Source organism: Homo sapiens, chromosome 20 (assembly GCF_000001405.40).
Source record: "Homo sapiens chromosome 20, GRCh38.p14 Primary Assembly".
In the NCBI taxonomy this organism is placed as follows: Eukaryota; Metazoa; Chordata; class Mammalia; order Primates; family Hominidae; genus Homo; species Homo sapiens.
In genome coordinates this window covers 44,941,406-44,962,714 of record NC_000020.11, presented here as the reverse complement: position 1 = coordinate 44,962,714, position 21,309 = coordinate 44,941,406, and the positions used below count along the sequence as shown (strand labels likewise).

At 45.2% G+C, this 21,309-nt stretch overlaps 1 protein-coding gene and 1 long non-coding RNA gene across 4 annotated transcripts, besides 4 other annotated features; one reads left to right on the top strand and one right to left on the bottom strand.

The window, feature by feature from the left end:
- Positions 2,060 to 2,139: a silencer, noted in NCBI's record as "silent region_12951". NCBI's record gives its function as "represses an Ori minimal core promoter by ATAC-STARR-seq in GM12878 lymphoblastoid cells {active_cell/tissue: GM12878}" and the evidence as "EXISTENCE:reporter gene assay evidence [ECO:0000049][PMID:35858748]".
- Positions 2,318 to 20,585, top strand: TOMM34 (translocase of outer mitochondrial membrane 34). Of its 3 annotated transcripts, none has more exons than NM_006809.5 (7): positions 2,318 to 2,508; positions 6,230 to 6,329; positions 7,495 to 7,647; positions 10,713 to 10,882; positions 13,838 to 13,985; positions 19,136 to 19,262; positions 19,502 to 20,585. In NM_006809.5, the coding sequence occupies exons 1-7, from the start codon at positions 2,382 to 2,384 to the stop codon at positions 19,604 to 19,606; spliced, it is 930 nt and encodes a 309-aa protein (NP_006800.2). In that variant the 5' UTR covers positions 2,318 to 2,381; the 3' UTR covers positions 19,607 to 20,585. The 3 variants fall into 3 exon arrangements, with proteins under 3 accessions (NP_006800.2, XP_016883089.1, XP_011526803.1); XM_011528501.2 differs by lacking the exon at positions 2,318 to 2,508 and adding an exon at positions 4,408 to 4,471; XM_017027600.3 differs by lacking the exons at positions 13,838 to 13,985; positions 19,502 to 20,585 and having other exon boundaries at positions 19,136 to 19,263.
- Positions 2,370 to 2,459: an enhancer, noted in NCBI's record as "active region_17943". NCBI's record gives its function as "activates an Ori minimal core promoter by ATAC-STARR-seq in GM12878 lymphoblastoid cells {active_cell/tissue: GM12878}" and the evidence as "EXISTENCE:reporter gene assay evidence [ECO:0000049][PMID:35858748]".
- Positions 2,470 to 2,519: an enhancer, noted in NCBI's record as "active region_17942". NCBI's record gives its function as "activates an Ori minimal core promoter by ATAC-STARR-seq in GM12878 lymphoblastoid cells {active_cell/tissue: GM12878}" and the evidence as "EXISTENCE:reporter gene assay evidence [ECO:0000049][PMID:35858748]".
- LOC124904912 (uncharacterized) lies at positions 3,178 to 7,499 on the bottom strand. Its single transcript, XR_007067599.1, has 2 exons — positions 7,095 to 7,499; positions 3,178 to 4,378 (listed from the first exon to the last, which is right to left on the bottom strand). It is a non-coding gene; the product is annotated as an uncharacterized LOC124904912 (long non-coding RNA).
- Positions 3,300 to 3,389: an enhancer, noted in NCBI's record as "active region_17941". NCBI's record gives its function as "activates an Ori minimal core promoter by ATAC-STARR-seq in GM12878 lymphoblastoid cells {active_cell/tissue: GM12878}" and the evidence as "EXISTENCE:reporter gene assay evidence [ECO:0000049][PMID:35858748]".
- Positions 20,586 to 21,309: the final 724 nt, after the last annotated feature.

Genomic DNA, 21,309 nt, shown 5'->3' with positions numbered 1-21,309 from the left:
CCATCCTACTCAGCATGTTGGCTTTTCATACTTGTGTTTATTGCCTCATGGTTGCAAAATGACTGCCACACCTCCAGGTATCATATCCTTAACCCAGCACTACCCAAAGCAGAAAAAGAGCAAGAATGGCTACTTGACCCAGTACCTCTCTGTTATGGGGAGGGAAACCTTTCCCATAAACACTCAGCAGACTCTTTTTTTTTTTTTTTTTTTTTTTTGAGACGGAGTGTTGCTCTGTCGCCCAGGCTGGAGTGCAGCAGTGCAATCTCAGCTCACTGCAACCTCCACCTCCCGGGTTCAAGCTATTCTCCTGCCTCAGCCTCCTGAGTAGCTGGGACTACAGGTGCGTGCCACCACCCCAGCTAATTTTTTGTATTATTAGTAGAGATGGGGTTTCACTGTGTTAGCCAGGATGGTCTCGATTTCCTGCCTTGTGATCCACCCGCCTCGGCCTCCCAAAGTGCTAGGACTACAGATGTGAGCCACTGCGACCAGCCTCAGACTCCCTTTTATCTCATTGCCCAGATCAGCATCACATGTGCATCCCTTGATGAATCACTGGCAAGAGAAAATGACATTTTTCTAATTGGCTTAGAGCAATCCTGATTCACTTCCCCAGGCTGGGAGAGTCTCAGGCAAAATTCAGGCTCCTGGAAGCAAAGATGGAAGTCACTGAGTAGCCAGCCAGCAGCATGGGCCTCATCTGGTTTTCCCACCACAGTCAGTGTTCATCCTTGGTCGGGGCAGAGGGCAAGGGGAAGCATTTCAGATGGAACAGCCATCCAGCCCTCAGAAAGCTTATAGTCTGGTGGAGTTAAGTGTATGCAGATCATTATAACTGAATTCCTGAAGGTAGAGACTAGATCTTTATCAATCAATGACTTTTATTGGATGCCAGACCCTATTAGGGTCTTGGATAAACAAAGATAAAAAGGACCCACTTCCTGCCATTAAAGACCTCGCAGTGTTTAAGGAAAACTACAAACTGGCAATCAAAGGGTGACTAATGCAAAGTTAGGGATAAAGCTAGAGACCAATAGGGAGCAAAGGGAGCATAGTGGGGGGTGGGGAGGGGGCTGGAAGCAGGAAAGGCTTTCAGAGAAGATGATGTTTGAATGGAATGTTATAAGTTAATTCAGGATTAGGCAGGAGAAAAAGTATTTAGAAAAAAAAATCCAGGAGAAGGAGATAACAAGCAAAGGCTAGGAAGCAAGAATTTAGTGTGTGTAGATAGCAATGCGTGGGACATAGAGTCGTCAGATGAGGCTGGAGATAAATTGAAGTCACACTCTGTGAAAGATCTTCATCCATTCTGAAAGCTGATCATACGAATTGGGTCATTCTTGTCATATCCAACTAAGACAGAATTGAAAAGCCAGGGGAACAAATACTCAGGGCATATAACATTGCTCCAAAAAAGTAATTTTTTGCAAGCCTGGCTGCTAAAACTGCCTGCTGTAACCTAAAACCAGTTTTATCTAATAGCTACTGAAACAGCCTGCTACAATTCTGAGTTTTATCCACCACTATCACTTACCAATCAAAGCTTGCCAGCTCCCCAAGAAGCTGATAAACCCCCACTTTACTAGTGCCTGTAAACTTCCTTGAAGAGCAATATGTAACATTTCTGTTTTATAAAAATCTCCAAACCTTCTCTTTGTTCTTCTGACATACCAAAGACAACCTGGTCTGTGTGTAAGCCCTGAATTGCAATTCTTGATTGCCAAATAAAATATTTAAACTTTAGAGATTCATCTCTATATGTTGACTTTGACACCATCAATCCACCTGTGCATTAATTTATTAAATAAATATCTATAGAGCACTAGGTACCAGGTACTTTCTAGCCTTGGAACCTTTGCACTTACCATCCCTCTGGCTGGAACAGCATTCCCTAAATCTTGTCTGGTCTCAGCTCAACTATTACCCCCTGAGAAAGGCCTTCCTTCATCCCCTTATTTAAAATAGCCCACACGTGGTCACTTTCCATTGCATTATCCTGTTTTGTTTTCCTTACAGCACTAATCACATGAAATGAGAGTCTTCGTTTGCTTATCAGTTAATTGCCTGTGGGGACCCCACTAGGACATAATCTCCCTGATAGCGGGGCCAGCCTCCTTCCCTGCGTCATCCACGGCGTTCTAGCAACTCAGGGAGCCCAGAGCATGCTGCCGCCCCGCGTGCAAGGGAGCCTAAGTTCCAAACCGAGCACGCGCAGAGGGCGGGACGCTCCGGGCCTCCAGGTCTCGCAGGCCCCGCCCCCTCGCCGCGGGTTCGCTGTTGGGCGGAGATATTCGCCGCCGGCGCTTGCGCCCGGAAGGTGTGCCGCACCACACGGGGGAGGAAGGAAGGAGCTCCCAACTCGCCGGCCTGGCCACGGGATGGCCCCCAAATTCCCAGACTCTGTGGAGGAGCTCCGCGCCGCCGGCAATGAGAGTTTCCGCAACGGCCAGTACGCCGAGGCCTCCGCGCTCTACGGCCGCGCGCTGCGGGTGCTGCAGGCGCAAGGTACGACCCCGGCCCCCATCTCACCTCCGGGCCTGCTCCTCCAACTCCCGCAACCACCGCCCGGGCCTCGCGCGGCGGCCAGCAGTCCTGCCCGGCCCTCCCACCCTTCCAGCCCCTTCCGACTCCGGCATCCTACCAGAAACTTCCTCGGCCCTTTCTTTCCACCTGCTTGTTAACTGCCCTGTTGGCCCCCATCCTAAGTTATTTAGGCCTCGTTCTGAGCCCTGAGAAGAAAGCTAAACCCTCCTCCCCCGCAGCAATTCATTTTTCAGTTAGTATTTGTTGAGTAGCTGTTATATACCGCCTGTGTAACAAGACACAAAAAGTCCCTTCTCTCAAGGACAGCGCATTCTTGTGGGGGCGGTGGGGAGGACGTGAGTCTTAAGCGAGTCAGTAAGTAAACGAGACCTGTGGGATAATCAGGGTTAGGAAGAAGACAAATAGGGTGATGTGATAGAGTTGACTGGAGTGGGAGATCAAGGGCAACATCTGTAAAGAAGTGATATTTGAGGTGATGTCTAAATGATGAGAAGCCAAGCGCACAAGGTTTTCGGTCCTGAAGTGAACTGCAATGAGAAAGGCCCCCCCTCCAAGACGATATAAACATGGTGTGTTTCAGGGGTCAAAGCATAGTGAGCCAGGGCAGGGAATAGGAAGACATGAGGTCAGTTAGGAAGGCAGACCCTTATTTATTGTGGAGGTGTTGTAAACTCTGCTAAGGAGTTCGGATTTCATGCCAAACTGGAAGCTTGGCATGAAAGCTGCTGGATGGGAAGCTACTGGAGAGTTTGAAACAGAAGAATAGCATATTCTTACCAGTTCTCCCAGCGTCCAGCTTTCGTCAGCATACCGCAGACCTTTGCCCAAAGCCCCTTCTCCAGGGTGACTTAATCAGAAACCCTCATTGGTTAAAGCCTTGACTTTTGAAAGGAGCCTTGGATCCTGGTTTCTGTGAGTCACCGTTCAGTACCTATTTCCCTTTGCCGCCTTCCTTTTTTTCCTTTTCTTGGCTAGCATCTCTTGAGTGATTTACCATGTGCTAGACATTTTAGACACGATCTCCTTTGATCTTTATTATGGCCCTGTGGATAAAATGCTTAGAAAGGAGGAGTCCAAGAGAGTTAAATTGGCTCCCTCGGGGTTACATAGTGAAGACATGGAAGAGCCACGATTTGAATATGGATCTGTTTGACTTTGATGCTAAGTCCAAATTTTTAATCATTTTGCTAGACCTCTCCTCACATCCTCTCCAGATTTCATTCTTTTTTTTTTTTTTTTTGTCTGCACTTTTTGCAGTTTCAAGCCACTCCTTTGCCCCCTTCTTTGTTCTAGAAAACTCTCCTTTAGGCCCACTTCCTCATGGCAGCCTTACTTGATGAAGTTGCTGAAGAAGCTGAGGTATTGATGTTGCTGCCATTTTCATTCATCTCACCCCAGCTGGTCTGGAAAAGCTTGTACATTTGTATGGGTTAATTCTGGGTCCATAGAAAAGCTAGCCTGGTATCTAGATTTAGCAAGGACCGGAGTTTGGTTCTGCTGCTGCTACAGATTTCCTAGGTAATTTTGGGCAAGTCTCTTGATTTATCTGATCAGTCTTCTTGATCACGAAGAGAGCTCAGGGAACAGGCTAACACAATGAACCCTTCCAGCAAGTCTATGAAGTGATATCCTCATGTGGTAGGTGGGCACGCATGATCAGAGGGATGGAGTGACTTGTCCGGATCGCAGGGTTGATGCCCTTTCCACCGCACCACTGCTGTTTCTGAGCAACCGTACTCTGGTGACTCAAGATGGATTACAGGTTTTGGGTACTTAGCTCCTTAAGGGCAAGGATGTATTTTACTAGTCTTTGTACTTTCCGTCTCTGGGCCTGGCAAAACAAGAGGGGAAAACGCTTGTTATTGTTGGTATTGAATGAAAGATATCAAATATCAACATGGCAACAGGATACTGAGTGAAAAAAGTAAGTTGCAGAAGGATAGGCAATATGATGCCTCTTAGGAAATGCTTTAATAGACATAAAATGGTATCTTTCCTGTTAACACACACACACACACACACATATATATACATATACATATATATACATGTACATGTATACATATATACATATACATATATACATATATATGTAAATGTAGAACATGCTTGAAAATGTTACATACCAACTTCAGGATTGTACTGGCCTCTGTGAGTCTGGGGAGGGAGCACAGGGATAAGGATGGGGATGGCTGGAGTTTTAGCTTATCAAAAAAATTTTTAAGGGTTGGGTGCCATAGCTCATGCCTATAATCCCAACACTTTGGGAGGCCAAAGCGGGAGGATCACTTGAGGCTAGGCATTCAAGACCAACCTGGGCAACACAGTGGGACTCTGTCTCTACAAAAACTTTAAAAATTAACTGGGCTTGGGGGTACACACCTGTAGTCCTATCTGCTTGGTAGGCTGAGCTGGGAAGATCACTTGAGCCCAAGAGTTTGAGGCTGCAGTGAGCTATGATTGTGCTACTACACTTCAGCCTGGGCAACAGAGGGAGACGCTGTCTCTAAAAATTAAAAAAGTTGGGAACTAATATAACGTGCTAAATCTAGTGGTGGATTCTGAGATAATGGTCTTCTGTATGTTTCAAAATTTTCAAAAAGAGACCCTGTTTTCAATTCTTTTTAAAATAATGGCCGACACTAGTGGGTATGAAGTGGTTGAAAATTATCTTTAAAAATAAAGATCATTGTTGGTTGGGCACGGTGGCTCACGTCTGTAATCCCAGTACTTTGGGAGGCCGAGGCAGGCGGATTGCCTGAGGTCAGGAGTTCAAGACCAGCTTGGCCAACATAGTGAAACCCTGTCTCTACCAGGCGTGGTGGCGAGTGCCTGTAATCCCAGCTACTCAGGAGGCTGAGGCTGAGGCAGGAGAATTGCTTGAACCCAGGAGGTGGAGTTGCAGTGAGCGGAGATCGCTCCACTGCACTCCAGGCTGGGCAACAGAGCAGGACTCTGTCTCAAAAAAAAATACGTAAATAAAGATCATGGTGGCCACAGTGAAGGACTTGAGCCTCTGCGATTCCTGAGGGTAAGGACTGCCTTAGAAGAATGTCTAATAATTCTCCCCATGGGGTAGCTTAAGACTTTTTCCTGATTAAGTTCTCTGTACTCCCATCACACCCAGCTCAATTATCATTTCCCTGACAAAGTCCTCCCTGGCTTGACCAGGTAAAACTAGTCTCATGTCTTTCATGGGTGTTTTGTGCCCCTACAACTTTTGGTCAATCCATTTATCATACGTTTATCATCTTGTTCCCTCCCTCCCTCCCTTTCTTTTCTTTTTTTTTTTTTCTTTCTTTCTTGGATTTAAATGCTTTTTGTAATAAAATACACACCTATCCATCCATTTATCCACCCAAACCCAAGTAGTTACAGCATGGATTTCTTTGAGGCAGAAGCTAGCTATTTCTTGTTTATCTTTTGTCTGTTATCAAGTTCAGTGCTGGAATGAGTGAATGAGGAAATACTTGGTTCCCTTTGAATGGCAAAAAGCGCAGTGTCCTTCTGTCACATAAGAATGACAAACACGCCAGCCCAGCAGACCAACAAGCCTGAACAGGTTATAGTTATCTCTACTGCCTTAACACAAGGCCCAAAGAGCTCTGAGTTTGAAATGTATCCTAATGCCCTGAGGCACCCATTTTCCAAACTGATCATCTTCCCCACTCTATCTGGGCAGGTTCTTCAGACCCAGAAGAAGAAAGTGTTCTCTACTCCAACCGAGCAGCATGTCACTTGAAGGATGGAAACTGCAGAGACTGCATCAAAGATTGCACTTCGTAAGTGGCCAAGGGTAATTTTGGGATGCCTGAGGGTCTCAGAAGAGGAGGCTGGGTTAATCTGGCTTGTTTCTTCTTTGGAAGGATCCCATCAATTACATCTGGGACAGATATTAAGAAAGTGTCACTGAGTTTCACCAGGTCACTGAGAATGGGAGTCTTTATTTGGTCCTTATGGCCCGTGACTTGCATCTTTGGAGTCTTGGCTCTGCTGCCGAAAAAGGAGTGGGATGGGCAGTTAGAAGCAGGCCGTAAAGTCTTTGTGCAATTTGAAACCTGGGAATAAGGTGGAGTGGCAGACCAGTAACTGGCTTGCCCAGGTGCTTTTCTGGGATGGGAGTATGTGAGGGGAAGGGAGCGAAGGAAAGAAGGAGGAATAGAGGTTAATAGATTGTCTCAGAAGGAGAAAGGAAAAAAATGGTATTCATGAATGACCAGTTTTAGAGGACACTGAACAATGTTTCATATCTCTTTTTCTTCAAGCCAGTCTAATATTCTTTTATCATCATTAAACTCTCACATTTACCTGAAATGTGTTCTCAGATCTGATGTCCTCTGACATTGCTTTAGATTCCTGCCCTGGTGATAGCCAGGAGAGCAGGAGGGGTGTGAGCATACTCACAGAGCCTGTGCTGAATTAATTTGTGCCATGCCTTGTGCCAGATTTCCCTCTTTGAGTGTTCACAACCAATCTGTGGGGTACGGTTACCATGTGTCCCAGGCCAGAACTTGGTTGCTGAGGGTTGGGGCAGTAAAGTGATTTACCTGGGTCACATAGTTAGCAGCAGAGGTGGAATTCAGACACCACCCCATCTGACTCCAAAGCTTGTTTGTTATTCCCACTAGACCACAACTGTAAAAAAACATAGTAGCATGAAAGCCATGAGGCTTTTGTTCTTGATTTTGGGGGAACTGAAACTATGAAAATTGATGCATGTGCACACACATTTAACAAAATTCATGTTTCTCTGCCTTCTTTCTCCTCCTCACTTCAGTCTACGTTGAAAAATCCCTGTTCTGAGGTTTGGCGTTTTTAGCCATGTCTCTCGGCCAGAAATTACTTCCTGTACGCTGAGTGCTCCAGATAACCCTGCCTGGAAGAAACTGTAGGGAAACCCTGGTGGCTCAGCAGCCAGCCAGTTGACATTTTTGCCTCCTATTCTAGAGCACTGGCCTTGGTTCCCTTCAGCATTAAGCCCCTGCTGCGGCGAGCATCTGCTTATGAGGCTCTGGAGAAGTACCCTATGGCCTATGTTGACTATAAGACTGTGCTGCAGATTGATGATAATGTGACGTCAGCCGTAGAAGGCATCAACAGGTGAGCTCCATTCCCAGCAGGTGGTCTCCACGGCAACTCCCTGTCCTTCTTGATTGGCTGCGGGCCATTGCCTTGTCTGTCTTCTGAGGGGATCCCTTTGGCTACACTTAAAAAACTCCCGATGGGCATGTAGGGGAAGCTGAGAAAGGAAAATCTGCTTTTTTATTTAGCAGGTTTTCAGGGAGTCAATTACTAAGATTGATTGATTGATATTTGCCTACATGTGCCTCACAGTATCTATGTACACAGTAATATTTATTGTACACTGTTTAAGGTGTTGTGCCCGGTTCAGTGGGGGATACCAAAATGAGAAAGAGATACAGACCCCACTTACCTTCAAAGCGCTAACGCTAATTAGAAGAATAAGACACAAGCCCAAGCAGCTATGACAAGCCTAAAAGGATATGGTTTGTGGACATGGTTCAGTATATTGCACTGTGACCAATCCAAGAGGTTCCCCAGGTGCAATTCCTTTCTGGTCTCTGAGCAGTTATTGGCTTTTATCTCATGGATATTGTCATTTGTATAACTGATCATGTTTCCCCTCTGCGTGTGCGGCTAGAAAGCCAAACACTGCACTAATAGCAAACCCTTAACAGGGACTTCATGGTATGTATTTAGTGCTTTATTTCTGGCTTGACTTGTCTGCCAGCATTCTTTGTTTTCTCTTTGCCTCCTTTTTAACTTATCTGATTCCACAAAATCTACCAATTATGTGACAGACTTTGCTCTAGGACCTGGGCTGATGACTGAGACATACCTCTTCCTGCCGTCATAGAGGTCCCGGTCTCAAGGAAGACACCAGTCAGTAATAGGCAAGCACAATACAACATGATAAGCGCCATGGTAGGAGGCAGCACAGGGGGCTCTGAGGCCAGAAAGGAGCCACCTAGCTAGCTGAGAGGGAGAGGGGGAGGCCAGAGAGAGCTTTTCAGAGGAGGTGAGCTAAGAATGAGAGATATGGGGTAGGGGGTTAGCCAGAAGACAGAGCAGCGTGTGCAAAGGTGAGCAAGTGTGACAGATCACAGGAATTGTAAGAAGTCGGTTTCACATGGTGCTGCAGGCAGGAGCTCAGCTTGGGACAGGTTGGTGAGGCCAAGTCACACAAGACCCAGGGTTCAGGGCTTGGACTTAATCCTGAGCAAGTCAGCCTTTATGAAAAGGTCTTTAGCAGTGGAGCAACATGAGCAGATTTGTATTTTAGAGAAAAGCTCTTTGCTGCCATGTTGAGGGATGATATGAAGGGCAACAGAATAGAAAGGAGTCATGCAGCAATCCAGGGGAGAGGGTGGAGAGAAAACAATGGGACCAGTCAGGGGACATGTAGGAAGTATATCAACAAGCTTTAGTGGTTGCGGGGTATCGAGAAGGGAGGAATAGAAGAAGACACTCAGATTATTGACATTCAGTCGGAGGTGACTGTGGGACATAAGACTAGAGATCTAAGTAGGACGGTTGGGTATTTACATGGAACAAAGGAAGAAAATACAGGCCAGACATAAGGATTTGAGGGTCATCAGCGCAGAGGTGGATTAGGGCTGTGAGAAAGAAAAAGAACATCACAGCTAGTGTGAAGAGGATGGAGCTTTGAGAAACTCCAGCATTTGAGGGACTTACAGAGGAACAGCAGCTAGAGAGGTGGGAGGAAACAGGGCATTGATGTCCCAAGGGAAGGAGTATTTCAAGAAAGATGGAGACATCATTAGTGTCAGGTGTTCCAAGGAGCTTACATTAAAGGTTTGGCAATGAAGTCACCGGTGGCTCTGATGGAAGCTGGTCAGTGGGATCAGGAGCCAGAGGGCAATGCTTTCAGAAAGTCAGGCTTGAAGAGAAGCTGGGGAGTATACCTGTGATGGCAAGGGGTGTCCAGTATGGTTTTATTAGGTGAGGAAAGAGTTAAAGGGACTTAAATGCTGACGGTTGGAGTTAGTAGAGAGGAAGGATGAAGATGTGGGAGAGGGAGGTGCTGCCTGGGTGTGGTCCCTGAAAGAGGCAAGAGGAGATGGGATCCAGAGCTTAGGTGGGTGGATTGGTCCCATTGTCTCTTCTGTTGTGACAGGAGAGAAATAGGAAGGATTGGGCACCCAGGCAGGTAGGTTTGTATTTGGGGTATGAGGAAGTTTGCTCTAAAAAAGGGGAAGGGCCAGGGAACAGGTTTGAGGAGAGCAGAGGTTTGAAATAGCTTGGCCGCCAGGAAAACAGCCTAGCCAGAGACATCTTGGAATTTGTAGTGATACAGTCTGTGGTTTTTATTCTTGTAATATAGGAAACATGGTTGTAGGAGCAGAAAAAGTATACAGTTAGCATTATTCACTCATTCAACACATAACTGATTGGGCCTTGGTGGTTGCTAGGTGACATACCAGGTGCTGGAGATCAGTTGACAGAATGAACTTGGTCTCTGGGTGGCATTTTAAGCTGAAATCTAAAGAATAAGTTGGAGTTAGCCGGGCCTGGAAGGTGGCAATCTTTTTCCAAAATGAAAATGGTTGTTCTGGGTAGAGGAAAAAGCATGTGCAAAGTCTTGAACAGAAGGATCAGAAGAGAATGTGGCTCACAGTGAAGGGGGACAGGAAGGGGTGGGGACCAGATCTCACATGCCACATTAGCCTAGGGAATTGGGAACCCCTGAGGAGTTGTAAGATTTGAGAATGACATAAGCTTTGCATTTTTTAAAAAGCCTGAGCATTAAACAAATGTCAGGTGCTTGCATGGTTGTGTACTTGATTCATTGATAAAATATGAAACAAAATGTATGATTCTTTCTTGGAGAAACTATAGTCTTTTTGGATCATGGTTTAAGTATCCTTAACAAGCAACAGATCACCACTTTAAAGGTAACATAGTTTGACCAAGCTCAAGGAATGTCATGGGGACTGATCTGAGATGGTGTTTATGGGTTCCTGTATTGCACGTGTTGGAGGAGCTAAAGAGGTGGTTCCGACCAGGGGGAGGGTGGCAGCTCTGGCTCTTCTGAAAAGGCCTACCTCCCATGGGTGTGTGAAAGGAGAAATATCTTCTTGACCCAGCTGGAAACCTCCCTGCAATCCTGCCTTCTTTTCCAGAATGACCAGAGCTCTCATGGACTCGCTTGGGCCTGAGTGGCGCCTGAAGCTGCCCTCAATCCCCTTGGTGCCTGTTTCAGCTCAGAAGAGGTGGAATTCCTTGCCTTCGGAGAACCACAAAGAGATGGCTAAAAGCAAATCCAAAGAAACCACAGCTACAAAGAACAGAGGTGAGCTGTGACTCCCTGCCCAGAGTCTTGCAATCTCCCACTATCCATTTTCTTTAGAGTAGTCCTGCAAAAATTGGCATTGTTTAGCTGAGTTATAAAAATAATCTTAGGAACAAAGTATAAAACAAAATACAAGTCTTCACCTCTTAGAGACTGTTTTCTCAGCTGTATAGTGAGGGTGATGATAAAGTCTTCCTCACAACCATGAGGACTGAATGACATAAGACATGTAAAACTCCCAGCCTGGCACATAGGCATGCAGTGTGAGTTCCCTTCTCTTTCCTCTGGTAGCACTTGGGATGTAGTACTTAGGATGTTTTTGGTTGCAAAAACAGAAAGCTCAACATGGTAAACATAGTATAGGGAATTTATTGGCTCATAAAACTGAAAAATCCGAGAGAATTCAGGCAAGGTTTGCTCCAGCAGCTCAGTATATTAACAGACTAACTCCATTTTTCTGTACTTATCACAGCTTTATTTTCTGTTGTGCGTCAGCTTTGTCTTTGGCAAGCTTCCCTCCTAGTAGCAAAATAGCTATAGCAGTTCCCGGCCTCACATCCATACCCCATGCCTCATGACCCAGAGAAAGAAAGTCTTTCTCTGATAGCTCACTAGGAAAAGATAGGATTTTTTTCCCCCAAAAAACTCTAGCTCACATATTTTCTCAATCATTTTCTCAATCTATTCTGGTCTTCATGGTCACAGGCCATTCCCTGAAGTACACACCATAACCGGCGGATGAGATTTTGTGATTAGGTCACCCTGAGGCACCTGCCCCACCTCCAGAACTAGAGGGTGATGCTTCCCAGGAGCATGTACACTGTGTGAATCCCTGGAGAAGCATGAAGAAGAGAAAGGAGATCCAAGCAGCCAAAAACAGGAGATTCCTCACCTCAACTGTATGAAATGAAGAGGCCATTTGTCAGGCACTAGGAAGCTCTTTTAATGCTCCAGGGGAATGGTCCCAGCCCAGCAAGCTAGGGATTCAGGCTAGAGGTGCAGAAGGGATCAGAGATGGAGCCCTGCCATGTGTAAGTGACCTATAGGTGTTAGGGGAGGACAAGAGTTACTCACCTTCTACAGGAGAATGCCTCTCTGGTCATGGGTAGCATTCACTCTGGTTTGTGGGAGCCTGGTAAGTGTTCCCCACTCTTCTCTAGGATGAAAATGTGCGGTGCTAATGAACCTGATGGCATCAGTGCCATTGATTTCATTCTTTCAATCAGTGCACCTACCATTGATTTCATTCTTTAAATCAGTGCACCTACCATTGATTTCATTCTTTCAGGGTCACTGAGCCATGTGTTCCAAGCCATGTGTATGCTAAGCAGTGTGACACAGAGGACAGTCTTGGCCCTCAGGGAACTCTCCCTCAGTTGAGGGACTGAGACATGTAAACAGTGTCTTAAAACACAAGGAGGAGGAACATGTGCTTTAGAGTCTTAGTGTTTGAGGACTTCAGGATAGAAACTGACTTAAGTGCATGAGGGAGTCGGGGAAAGACTCAGAAGGGGTGGCAATGGAGGTGGAGCCTTGAGCTGGACCTTGAAGAAGGTCATCAGGTGGGAAGGAAGGAGAATCCTTGGCAGAGACAGTGGAGAGAGTTGGAGAATGAAAGTGCATGGGGGGAACAGTAGGAATAAGGATGACTGCAGAGTGGTGTGTTGCAGGGTGCCAGTGAAGCTGAAGCCCTACTTCAAGAGAAACCTGTGTGCATGTGCACAGGGAGATGTACCCACAAATGTTCGTAGAAGACTGTAATAGCAAAAAACAACTGGAGATAACCCAGATCTCCATAAATGGGAGAATGGACAATTCAGCTTTGGTATTGCAGCAATGAAAATGAAGGAGCTGCAGGTCTGTGCATCAACACAGATGAATCTCAGAAATATAACATTAAGGGGAAAAAGAAAAACCAAGTCATAAAAGAATACACAGACTTATTCTTCTGTATGAAGTTCAAAAACAAAGTAAACAGCAAATGATCTGTGGGTACTGTTGTATATAGTTATACTGTTTAAAAAGGTGGGGAAGAAGCACAGAATTGGGGATAATAGTTTCCTCCAGCAGTGGATTGAATTGAGGAAGGTCCCCCAGGACTTCAAAGGTCCTAGTTATGTTCTTTTTCTTAAACCAGGCAATGAATTCAGGGTGTAAACCTATAATCTTACCCTGGTCATAAATATTTAGTATTTTATAAAGATAGTTTTAAAAATTTTTGAAAAGCAGATGATATGGAGCTGAGGCTGGAATAATTAATTGGGGCCAAGCAGTGAAGGGCCTGAACACCAAGTTGAGCAGCTTGGATTTCACCATGTTCCCTCTGCTTCCTCTCCTTGAAGGCTGGAGCAGAGCTGCATGTGTTAGATGAGGGAGGATACTCACAGGCTCAGCCCAAACCAGAAATGAGGAATAGCAGGCTCTTCTCCCCTTTTCTCATAGCCCAGAAGCTATACCTTTTCTTTACCAGATATTTGTTTATTAGTATTTATTTACTTATTGTCCTGCTTTAAGTTTATAGTGTGTTCCGTACTTTCTTACATACTCTCAGATTTGACCCTGAAAATAGCCATCTGTGGAATTAGTATTGCCCTATTTTATTGGTGAGGAAATTGAGGTCCAAAAGTTAGGTAGGTCACACAAGATCTTCCAGCTACCAAGAGGCAGTGCCAAGGCTAGAACCTGGGTTGCTTTTTATCATTTATATATTTTTATGTGCATGCAAAAATGTTTTTATATCAGGATTCCCCAACTTCTTGATGAAAAACTGTTGAATTGCCCAGAAGCTATTAATTGGGGGAAGTCATTAATCAGGAAGGATGATTTACAGCAGGGGAGGAAATCTCTGGGAGAGAGGATTGTAGTCAGTTTGGAAGGGACGATGCTGAAGAGACCTCACTGATCTCAGTTGGGTGCTGCTCCATGGTTTTTTTCCTCTTCTGAATTTGTATCTAGTGCCTTCTGCTGGGGATGTGGAGAAAGCCAGAGTTCTGAAGGAAGAAGGCAATGAGCTTGTAAAGAAGGGAAACCATAAGAAAGCTATTGAGAAGTACAGTGAAAGCCTCTTGTGTAGTAACCTGGAATCTGCCACGTACAGCAACAGGTATCTCCTATACAGCTGCTGGCCTGGGGCATTTCAGGACATTTGTTCCATAGTCTTCTCTTGGACTGCAATGGGCCCTTCATCCCTAGCATTTAGTCAAGTATGTTATGGCTGAAAACATGCATCCACGTTGTGAGCTAGCCATGACCAGTGGCATTCATTCTCTCAAAAGGGTAGAAACTGAGGGATGCCAAATGGTAGCCTGGGCTTTGTTGGCCCCTGTCCCCAGAATTTTCATAAGCATGCAATGTAACTAAAAGCAGTGTGCCTGCTCTGCAAACACAACCCTAACACAAGTCTCTTAGCCTGTCCACCCCACCACGCTACGCTGCTCCCTACCCTTCTCCAAGACCCTCCTGTTAGAAATTCTGGCACCATTTCTGTCTGAGAGTACTGGCCCAGAAGCCAAAATGTGAAGTAACCATTGCCTGGCATGAGAGCAGGAAGGATGGGTACAGTCTAGCCTGAAAGGTTAGACTTGTGGGCCTGTAGAAAGTCCTGCACCAGGAGCTGCCGTCAGTGACCACTGACTGAGAACCTGGGAGCCAGGGTGCGGTCCCTTCACTGTGTAGGAGTGATTGTTCTCCAACAATGCTCGTATAGGTGGTCTTTCTGTTTTAGTGTTTAGAAAATTGAGGCTCAGAGAAGGAAGGGTTTTGCTTTAAACTCAGCCAGCCAGTAAATGTTGGCACAAGAATTGGAATCTGACTTCAACAAGATCTTCCTGTTACTTTTACTCTCAGAAGCTTGAAACATTCAGCAAGAGACCATATCAAAACCAAATGCTTAGTATAAAACATTATAAAATGTTAGAAATCTGTTTATCCTTCCCTACCAGCATACACATATCACTCTCTAGTTCAAAAATCTTGGATCTAATATAGACACATTGTTCCTTATTCCAAACTCTTGAGATAAAATGTGTTTTCCAGCCACGGTGGCTCAATGCCTGTAATCCCAACACTTTGGGAGGCTGAGGCTCCGGGAGGATCACTTGAGGTCAGGAGTTTGAGACCAGCCTGGCCAACACGGCAAAACCCCATCTCTACTAAAAATACAAAAAATCAGCTGGGCGCTGTGGCACATGCCTGTGATCTCAGCTACTCAGGAGGCTGAGGCAGGAGAATCACTTGAACCCAGGAGGCAGAGGTTACAGTGAGCCAAGATTGTGCCACTGCACTCCAGCCTGGGTGACAGAGCGAGACTCTGTCACAAAAAAAAAAGAAGTGTTTTCCATTTTAGTGAGGTAATATGGTCTGAATTATGTAACACCCCAGCAGTGTCTGGGGCAGCTTGCAGAAGTTAATTATTAGTATTTCTGCCAGTGAAACTTGAAAATTCCATGTTCACATGGGGTGGAATAGAGAAACTAAATAGCTTCATGTCAGTTCAGATCAGGTTTTGCTGCCCAATGAGTTGGAAAGAGAACTTGTAGTTTTAAAGCTTATATTTTGGAATTTTGCACCTGTGGTTTTATGTGGTTTTATTGCTGATTGGACCAGAGGGGCCACAATTTGCCAGGCTAATTTGAAAAAGAAGCCTGCAGCCTATTTGTTCCATATTTGTGTGGCATCTTCTAACTCCTCTATCTCTGGACCCTCTTTCACATTGCTTACCTTATGCTGCTGGACACCTCCATTAACTCATTTTTCTGGATCATTACCATATTTGGAGCTGTGTTTTGTCTTGTTTAGATACTGTTCTTCATGCAGGTGTCTGTGCCACACTGTTTTAATTGCTTTTGCTTTATAATATCTTATAGGGCTGGTCTTTTCTTCATTCTTCTTAATCAGAGCATTCCTAGTATTTTCCCATGTTTGTTCTTCTAGCTAAAGCTTCGGATCATTTTGGCAAATTCCAAAAAATGTCTTGTTGGACAGCTTTTGGTTGTGATTGCATTGGATTTATAATTTAATCTAGAGGACTAATGACAAAACAACTTTCAGCCATTGTGGCTAACATTTTATCATGTCCTGGAACGTCTTGGACATAGTCTAATGCTCCACCTCATGTACGCCCATCTGAATGACACAATGCCCAGGCTTTGGCTTACTTTGGCTCCCTTTGTGCAGGTGACATCTGAGTGCATAGCACCTACAACTTGCCAGCCCTGAAACAGCTGTCATAAGAATCTCACTTGTACTCACAACAGTTCTTCAGCTTAGATCATTGTCCTGTGTTACCTAATCAGGCTCAGAAAGATGAATTAGTGACCACAAAGTTAAACAACTAGTACATGGTGGCTGAGATTTAAGCCAGATCTTTGTGACTCCAAAGCTTATTTCCCTTTCACTCACTTGTGTTATTTCCCAACCCCTTTGTAATTAAAACCCTTCTGACTGGATACAGTTACTTCATTTACCAAAAGTCAAGGGGGTTTATTTTATTGCCTGAAGTTATGCATTTTGTTCATCTTAAATATAGTCTTTAGAAGTCTCACATGACCCTATTAATCACATTTCTATTCTGAAGTCACGATACACGGTGGTTCCTCTGCTTCCCAGACACTTGGCTATTTCTTTAAATTGCCAAGCCCATTGGGAGGAAACTTTAATTTCCTTAGAATTCCTCTATGTTTAGAGGTGGCTCATGCCTGTAATCCCAGCACTTTGGGAGGCTGAGGTGGGCAGATTGCTTGAGGTTAGGAGTTTGAGACCAGGCTGGCCAACATGGTGAAACCCCATCTCTACCAAAAAATACAAAAGTTAGCTGGGCATGGTGGCATGCACCTGTAATCCCAGCTACTCGGGAGGCTGAAGTAGGAGAATCGCTTGAACCCAGGAGGCGGAGGTTGCAGTGAGCTGTTATCATGCCACTGCACTCCAGCCTGGGTGACAGAGTGAGACCCTGTCTCCAAAAAAAAAAAGGAATTCTTCTGTGTTCAAAGTTTAAAACGGGCTACTATTCTAAAACTTGGTGATTTACAACAACCATTTTATTTTGCTTGTAATTTGTGGAGTCAGGAATTAGGGAAGGGCAGTTCTCATTTGGGGTCTCTCATGCAGGGTCAGCAAGATGGTAGCTGGGGCTGGAATCCTCTAAAGCCTTCTTCCTCGAATGTCTGGCAGCTGGGCTGCCTGACTCAAATGGCTGGGTGATGGAACTGCTAGAGCAAGCTGGCACCTCTTTCCACTTTCTTAGCAGCCTTTTCATGTGTGCTGCTGTGAGCTTCCTGAGAGCGTGGTGGCCTCAGAGTAGTTGGCTTCTTCCCTGTCAGTTCAAGGCTCCAAGAGCGAGTGTTTCCAGAGACCAAGGTGGAAGCTGCAAGGCCTATTATGACCTAACCTTGGAAGTCACATCGTGTCCCTTCCTCTGTCCTCTGTTGGTCAGAGCAGTCACAGAGCCTGCCCGAATTCAAAGAGAGAGAGCAGATACACCTCCGCCTCTCAGTGGAGGATTGCCAAAGAATTTGTGCCTGTCTTTTAAGTTGTTACAAGAAGATTTTTCTCTCCGTTAATTTATGAATTCCATGCAATCACAAAGGACTAGTAGAATTTTCTTCTTTAAATTCATGATAAGTCAGAAAAAAATGAGAACAACGACATGAGAGAATCTGGTGTATAATAAAGTCTGGGGCAAAGAGAGATTATTTAATAAGAGGTGTTGGGTTGGCCAGGTTAGAGTTAAACTTGAATCCTACCTTGCTTCTTATTTTAAAGTAAGTTCTGAGTGGATCACAGTTTGGAATGTAAAAAGCGAAACCATTAAGTTCTAGAAGAACACATGGATTAACTATCTTGCAGTGGGGAAGGTATTCTTATGTGAAGGGAAAAAAATGTTACAGAAGTCGTTAAAGGAAAAGTTAGAGAAGTTTGATTTCAAAAGATTAAAAACCCTTATTAAAGATGTTCAGCTTTACCCACAACTAAGCAGCTAAGGCAGTGAGATAGTGTTTTATTCCATATTGGCATACATGAAAATTTAAGACCCAAAGTTGGTACAGTTGTAGGAAAATAGGCTCTGTCAATAACTATTCAGCTTTTTTGGAAAGCATTTTGGCAGTAACAATCAGATTTTATTTCTTTTTTTGTTTTGTTTTGTTTAAGAGATGGGGTCTCCCTATGTTGCCCAGGCTGGTCTCAAACTCCTGGGCTCAAGTGACCTTCCCACCTTGGCCTCCCAAAGTGCTGGGATTATAAGCATGAGCCACTGCACCTGGCCAGTCAGGTTTTAAAATGCATGTATCTTTGGATACAGCAGTCCCTTGCACAAGGATGTTCATCATGGCATCACTTATTTACAAACTGGAAACAATGAAAAATACCTCTTGATAGGAAATTGGTAAAATAAATTATGCTACATCCAACTTAGTGAATACCCTGCACCCACTGAAAACAGTGAGGTGGAACAGATGAACTTATGTAATGAGCGCCCAGACATCTGACTGTTTTGTTTTTAGTGACTGTCTTTGGAGAGAAGGACTAGATCTGAATGAGGAAGATATATACACACATGCACTTTTTTGAACCCACAGATGCAGAATATATTGTATGGATGCACATAACTTTTTTCCAACATTTTATTATGAAAATGTTCAAAATATAGGAAAGTTGAAAGATTTGTACATTGAACACCCATAGACCTACCATCTAAATTCTACAATTAGTATTATTACATTGCCTTATCACTATTTAGCCATCTGTTGGTCTGTATTATTGTGTTTGATGCACTTAAAAGTAAATTGCAAACGTCTTTACATTTCACCCCATGTCAGCATTATATCATTAGAGTTCAGTAGTTGTTGGGTTTTTTTTTCCCCCTTAAAGTAGATAATTTTTTAATCTGTCAAGGGAAAAGTTTCAGGAAACCTTTTCTTTGCTTGAAAGAGCTCAGTATAGGAGAGCGCAGTACAGCATGATAGAACTAGATGAGATCAGGATCTGGAGTCCCATGAACGAACGCCCGCCTATTTGAATCCTGGGTCTGCCCCTTAATACTGGCGGTACCTGGCCCAAGTTCCTTTACCCTTCTGAGCCAGCATGTTTCATCCATGAAAAGGGCTAGGATTGTTGTGAGGATTTAAGAAGACATAAAGTAACCAGCACAGAGTAGGTGTTCAGCAAATTGGAGATCACTTCTCAAACTACTGCGTGGCATGTGGGTGGCCCATAAGACGTGACTGAAACCTCTGAAATGGTCTTTCCCTTCAGAGCACTCTGCTATTTGGTCCTGAAGCAGTACACAGAAGCAGTGAAGGACTGCACAGAAGCCCTCAAGCTGGATGGAAAGAACGTGAAGGCATTCTACAGACGGGCTCAAGCCCACAAAGCACTCAAGGTAAAAAAAAATCCTGGCCAAAAGGTCCCAACATAGCTACAGAGATTTATGCCAGTGTCACCATTTACAGGGTGTAGCCAAGCTGAGACAATATCTGCAGCTTTTCCTTCTCATCCTGGGCCCAGGATAACTCAGAGCAGGCCTGTGGGCTGGGGTTTGAAAACACTTTGCTGCCTCAGCAGCTATCCCCACCCCAGTCCGGGAACCTTCCCCCACACTCCTGTCTTTTCTTCTATTAGGACTATAAATCCAGCTTTGCAGACATCAGCAACCTCCTACAGATTGAGCCTAGGAATGGTCCTGCACAGAAGTTGCGGCAGGAAGTGAAGCAGAACCTACACTAAAAACCCAACAGGGCAACTGGAACCCCTGCCTGACCTTACCCAGAGAAGCCATGGGCCACCTGCTCTGTGCCCGCTCCTGAAACCCAGCATGCCCCAAGTGAGCTCTGAAGCCCCCTCCTCAATCCCTTGATGGCCTCCCACCCTGTAAGAGGCTTTGCTTGTTCAAATTAAACTCAGTGTAGTCAAACACAGACATGGTTGTTGCACCAGAAAGGTCCCCACTAGAGCTAAGCGTGAAGCTGAAGCTCTGTCCCTATTCCCCCAGCCCAGCTAGCTGATCACACCAACAGATCCTCATCAGCAAAGCATTTGGCTTTGTCCTGCCCAAGTGGGCTGCAGACTGAGTGCTGCCCTTGTAGCTTCCCCAGACCCCAACTCACTGCAGTTCATCTGAACAACCTGAGCTCCTGGGCCGGGGTGGAAGGAGGGGGATAAACCTAAGGCCCTGATCCAAAGCAGCCTGTTGAGCTGGTTCTCCAGGGCTGCAGTCTCTCCAGGTGTACAGCTGCTGTCCCTGCCCTGTCCTGTCCTTGCACAGTCTCCTATGTCTGAGCCCCAGTGCCTTCTGTTCGGGCCCTCCTTTGGTGGGAAGGCAGAGCCCTGACCCTTGAATGGTTGTCCTTGACTCTGTGCTGCTGCCTTCTGCAGAGAGGCACCTAAGCTGTTTAAAGAGCCCAGTGATTGTGGCTGCTCCTCCTAGAGGTGGGAGGGGGCAAGAGGCCTCCTTGGTCAGTGTCCATGCTTTCTGGGCAGGGACTTGGTTTTTTGTTCCAACAGTGGCCTTCTCCGGGCTTCATAGTTCTTTGTAATATGTTGAAGTTAATTTGAATTGACTGATTTTGTTGAACTGTGTGTTTAAGCTGTTGCATTAAAAAGCTTTCTTCTACATCAATATCTGCTGTGCTTTCATTTATGCCTTTTCAGCTTTGCACCTGGAACTCTGTAGTAATAATAAAAGTTATTGCTTATTGGGCATTCATTCATTTGTTGAACAAATTTATTGACATGTCTGCATGGGCCAGGCACTGTGAATAGTGCTAGGGAGATAGATAGATAGCAGTGAATAGACACAGCCCCTGCTCTCAGAGGGCTGGTAGTCCAGTGGGAAGGCAAGAAGTTAATCAGACAACCACACACATGTAAAATTGCAGCTTGCCTGAGTGTTGTGAAGCAGTCGTCAGTGATTTCCCTGCCCAAAAGGGGAAATTTGATGCAGTGGAGGGAAGGGGGTCCCTGAGTAAGTAAAGCTTGAATTGAGTTCCAGATGGGGAGGTTAACTAGTGAAGAGGGGAGGGAAACACCGTGGACAGAACGGCCATGTAAGGCCCTCATTGGGAGCACAGCCAGTGAGTACAGGGACCTAAAAGGGCTGATGAAATTCACAAAACATGGTATGGGGTGAGGCTGGAGAGTGCTCTAGGATCTAGCTAGAATCAAGGGCTGCCTCCCTTTCCTGGGCTGGTTTTCACCTAATGGAAGTAGAGTTTTAGGATTCCACAGAGCAGAGTAGACAAAGGGGTCTGATCATCCCTTGGCTCCCATCACATAGTGCTAGGCAGCACTCGGCGTTAAGCACACCACCTCTGAGCTCTCTTAAGGATGAGTCTGTTGTCTGAGCCATCACAGACATCCAGGCTGAAGCAGAGTTAGAGTCAGACAAACCCCATCGGCACAGTCAAGGGACAGTTTCAAAGTGGGGCACC

What these genes read in the sequence shown, in the direction of transcription:
- TOMM34 (NM_006809.5), top strand. Translation starts at nt 2,382, where the DNA reads ATGGCCCCCAAATTCCCAGACTCTGTGGAGGAGCTCCGCGCCGCCGGC. An exon ending in TCTGCCACGTACAGCAACAG is followed by an intron (nt 13,986 to 19,135) that starts GTATCTCCTATA and finishes CTTTCCCTTCAG; the next exon opens with AGCACTCTGCTATTTGGTCC. An exon ending in AAGCCCACAAAGCACTCAAG is followed by an intron (nt 19,263 to 19,501) that starts GTAAAAAAAAAT and finishes TTCTTCTATTAG; the next exon opens with GACTATAAATCCAGCTTTGC.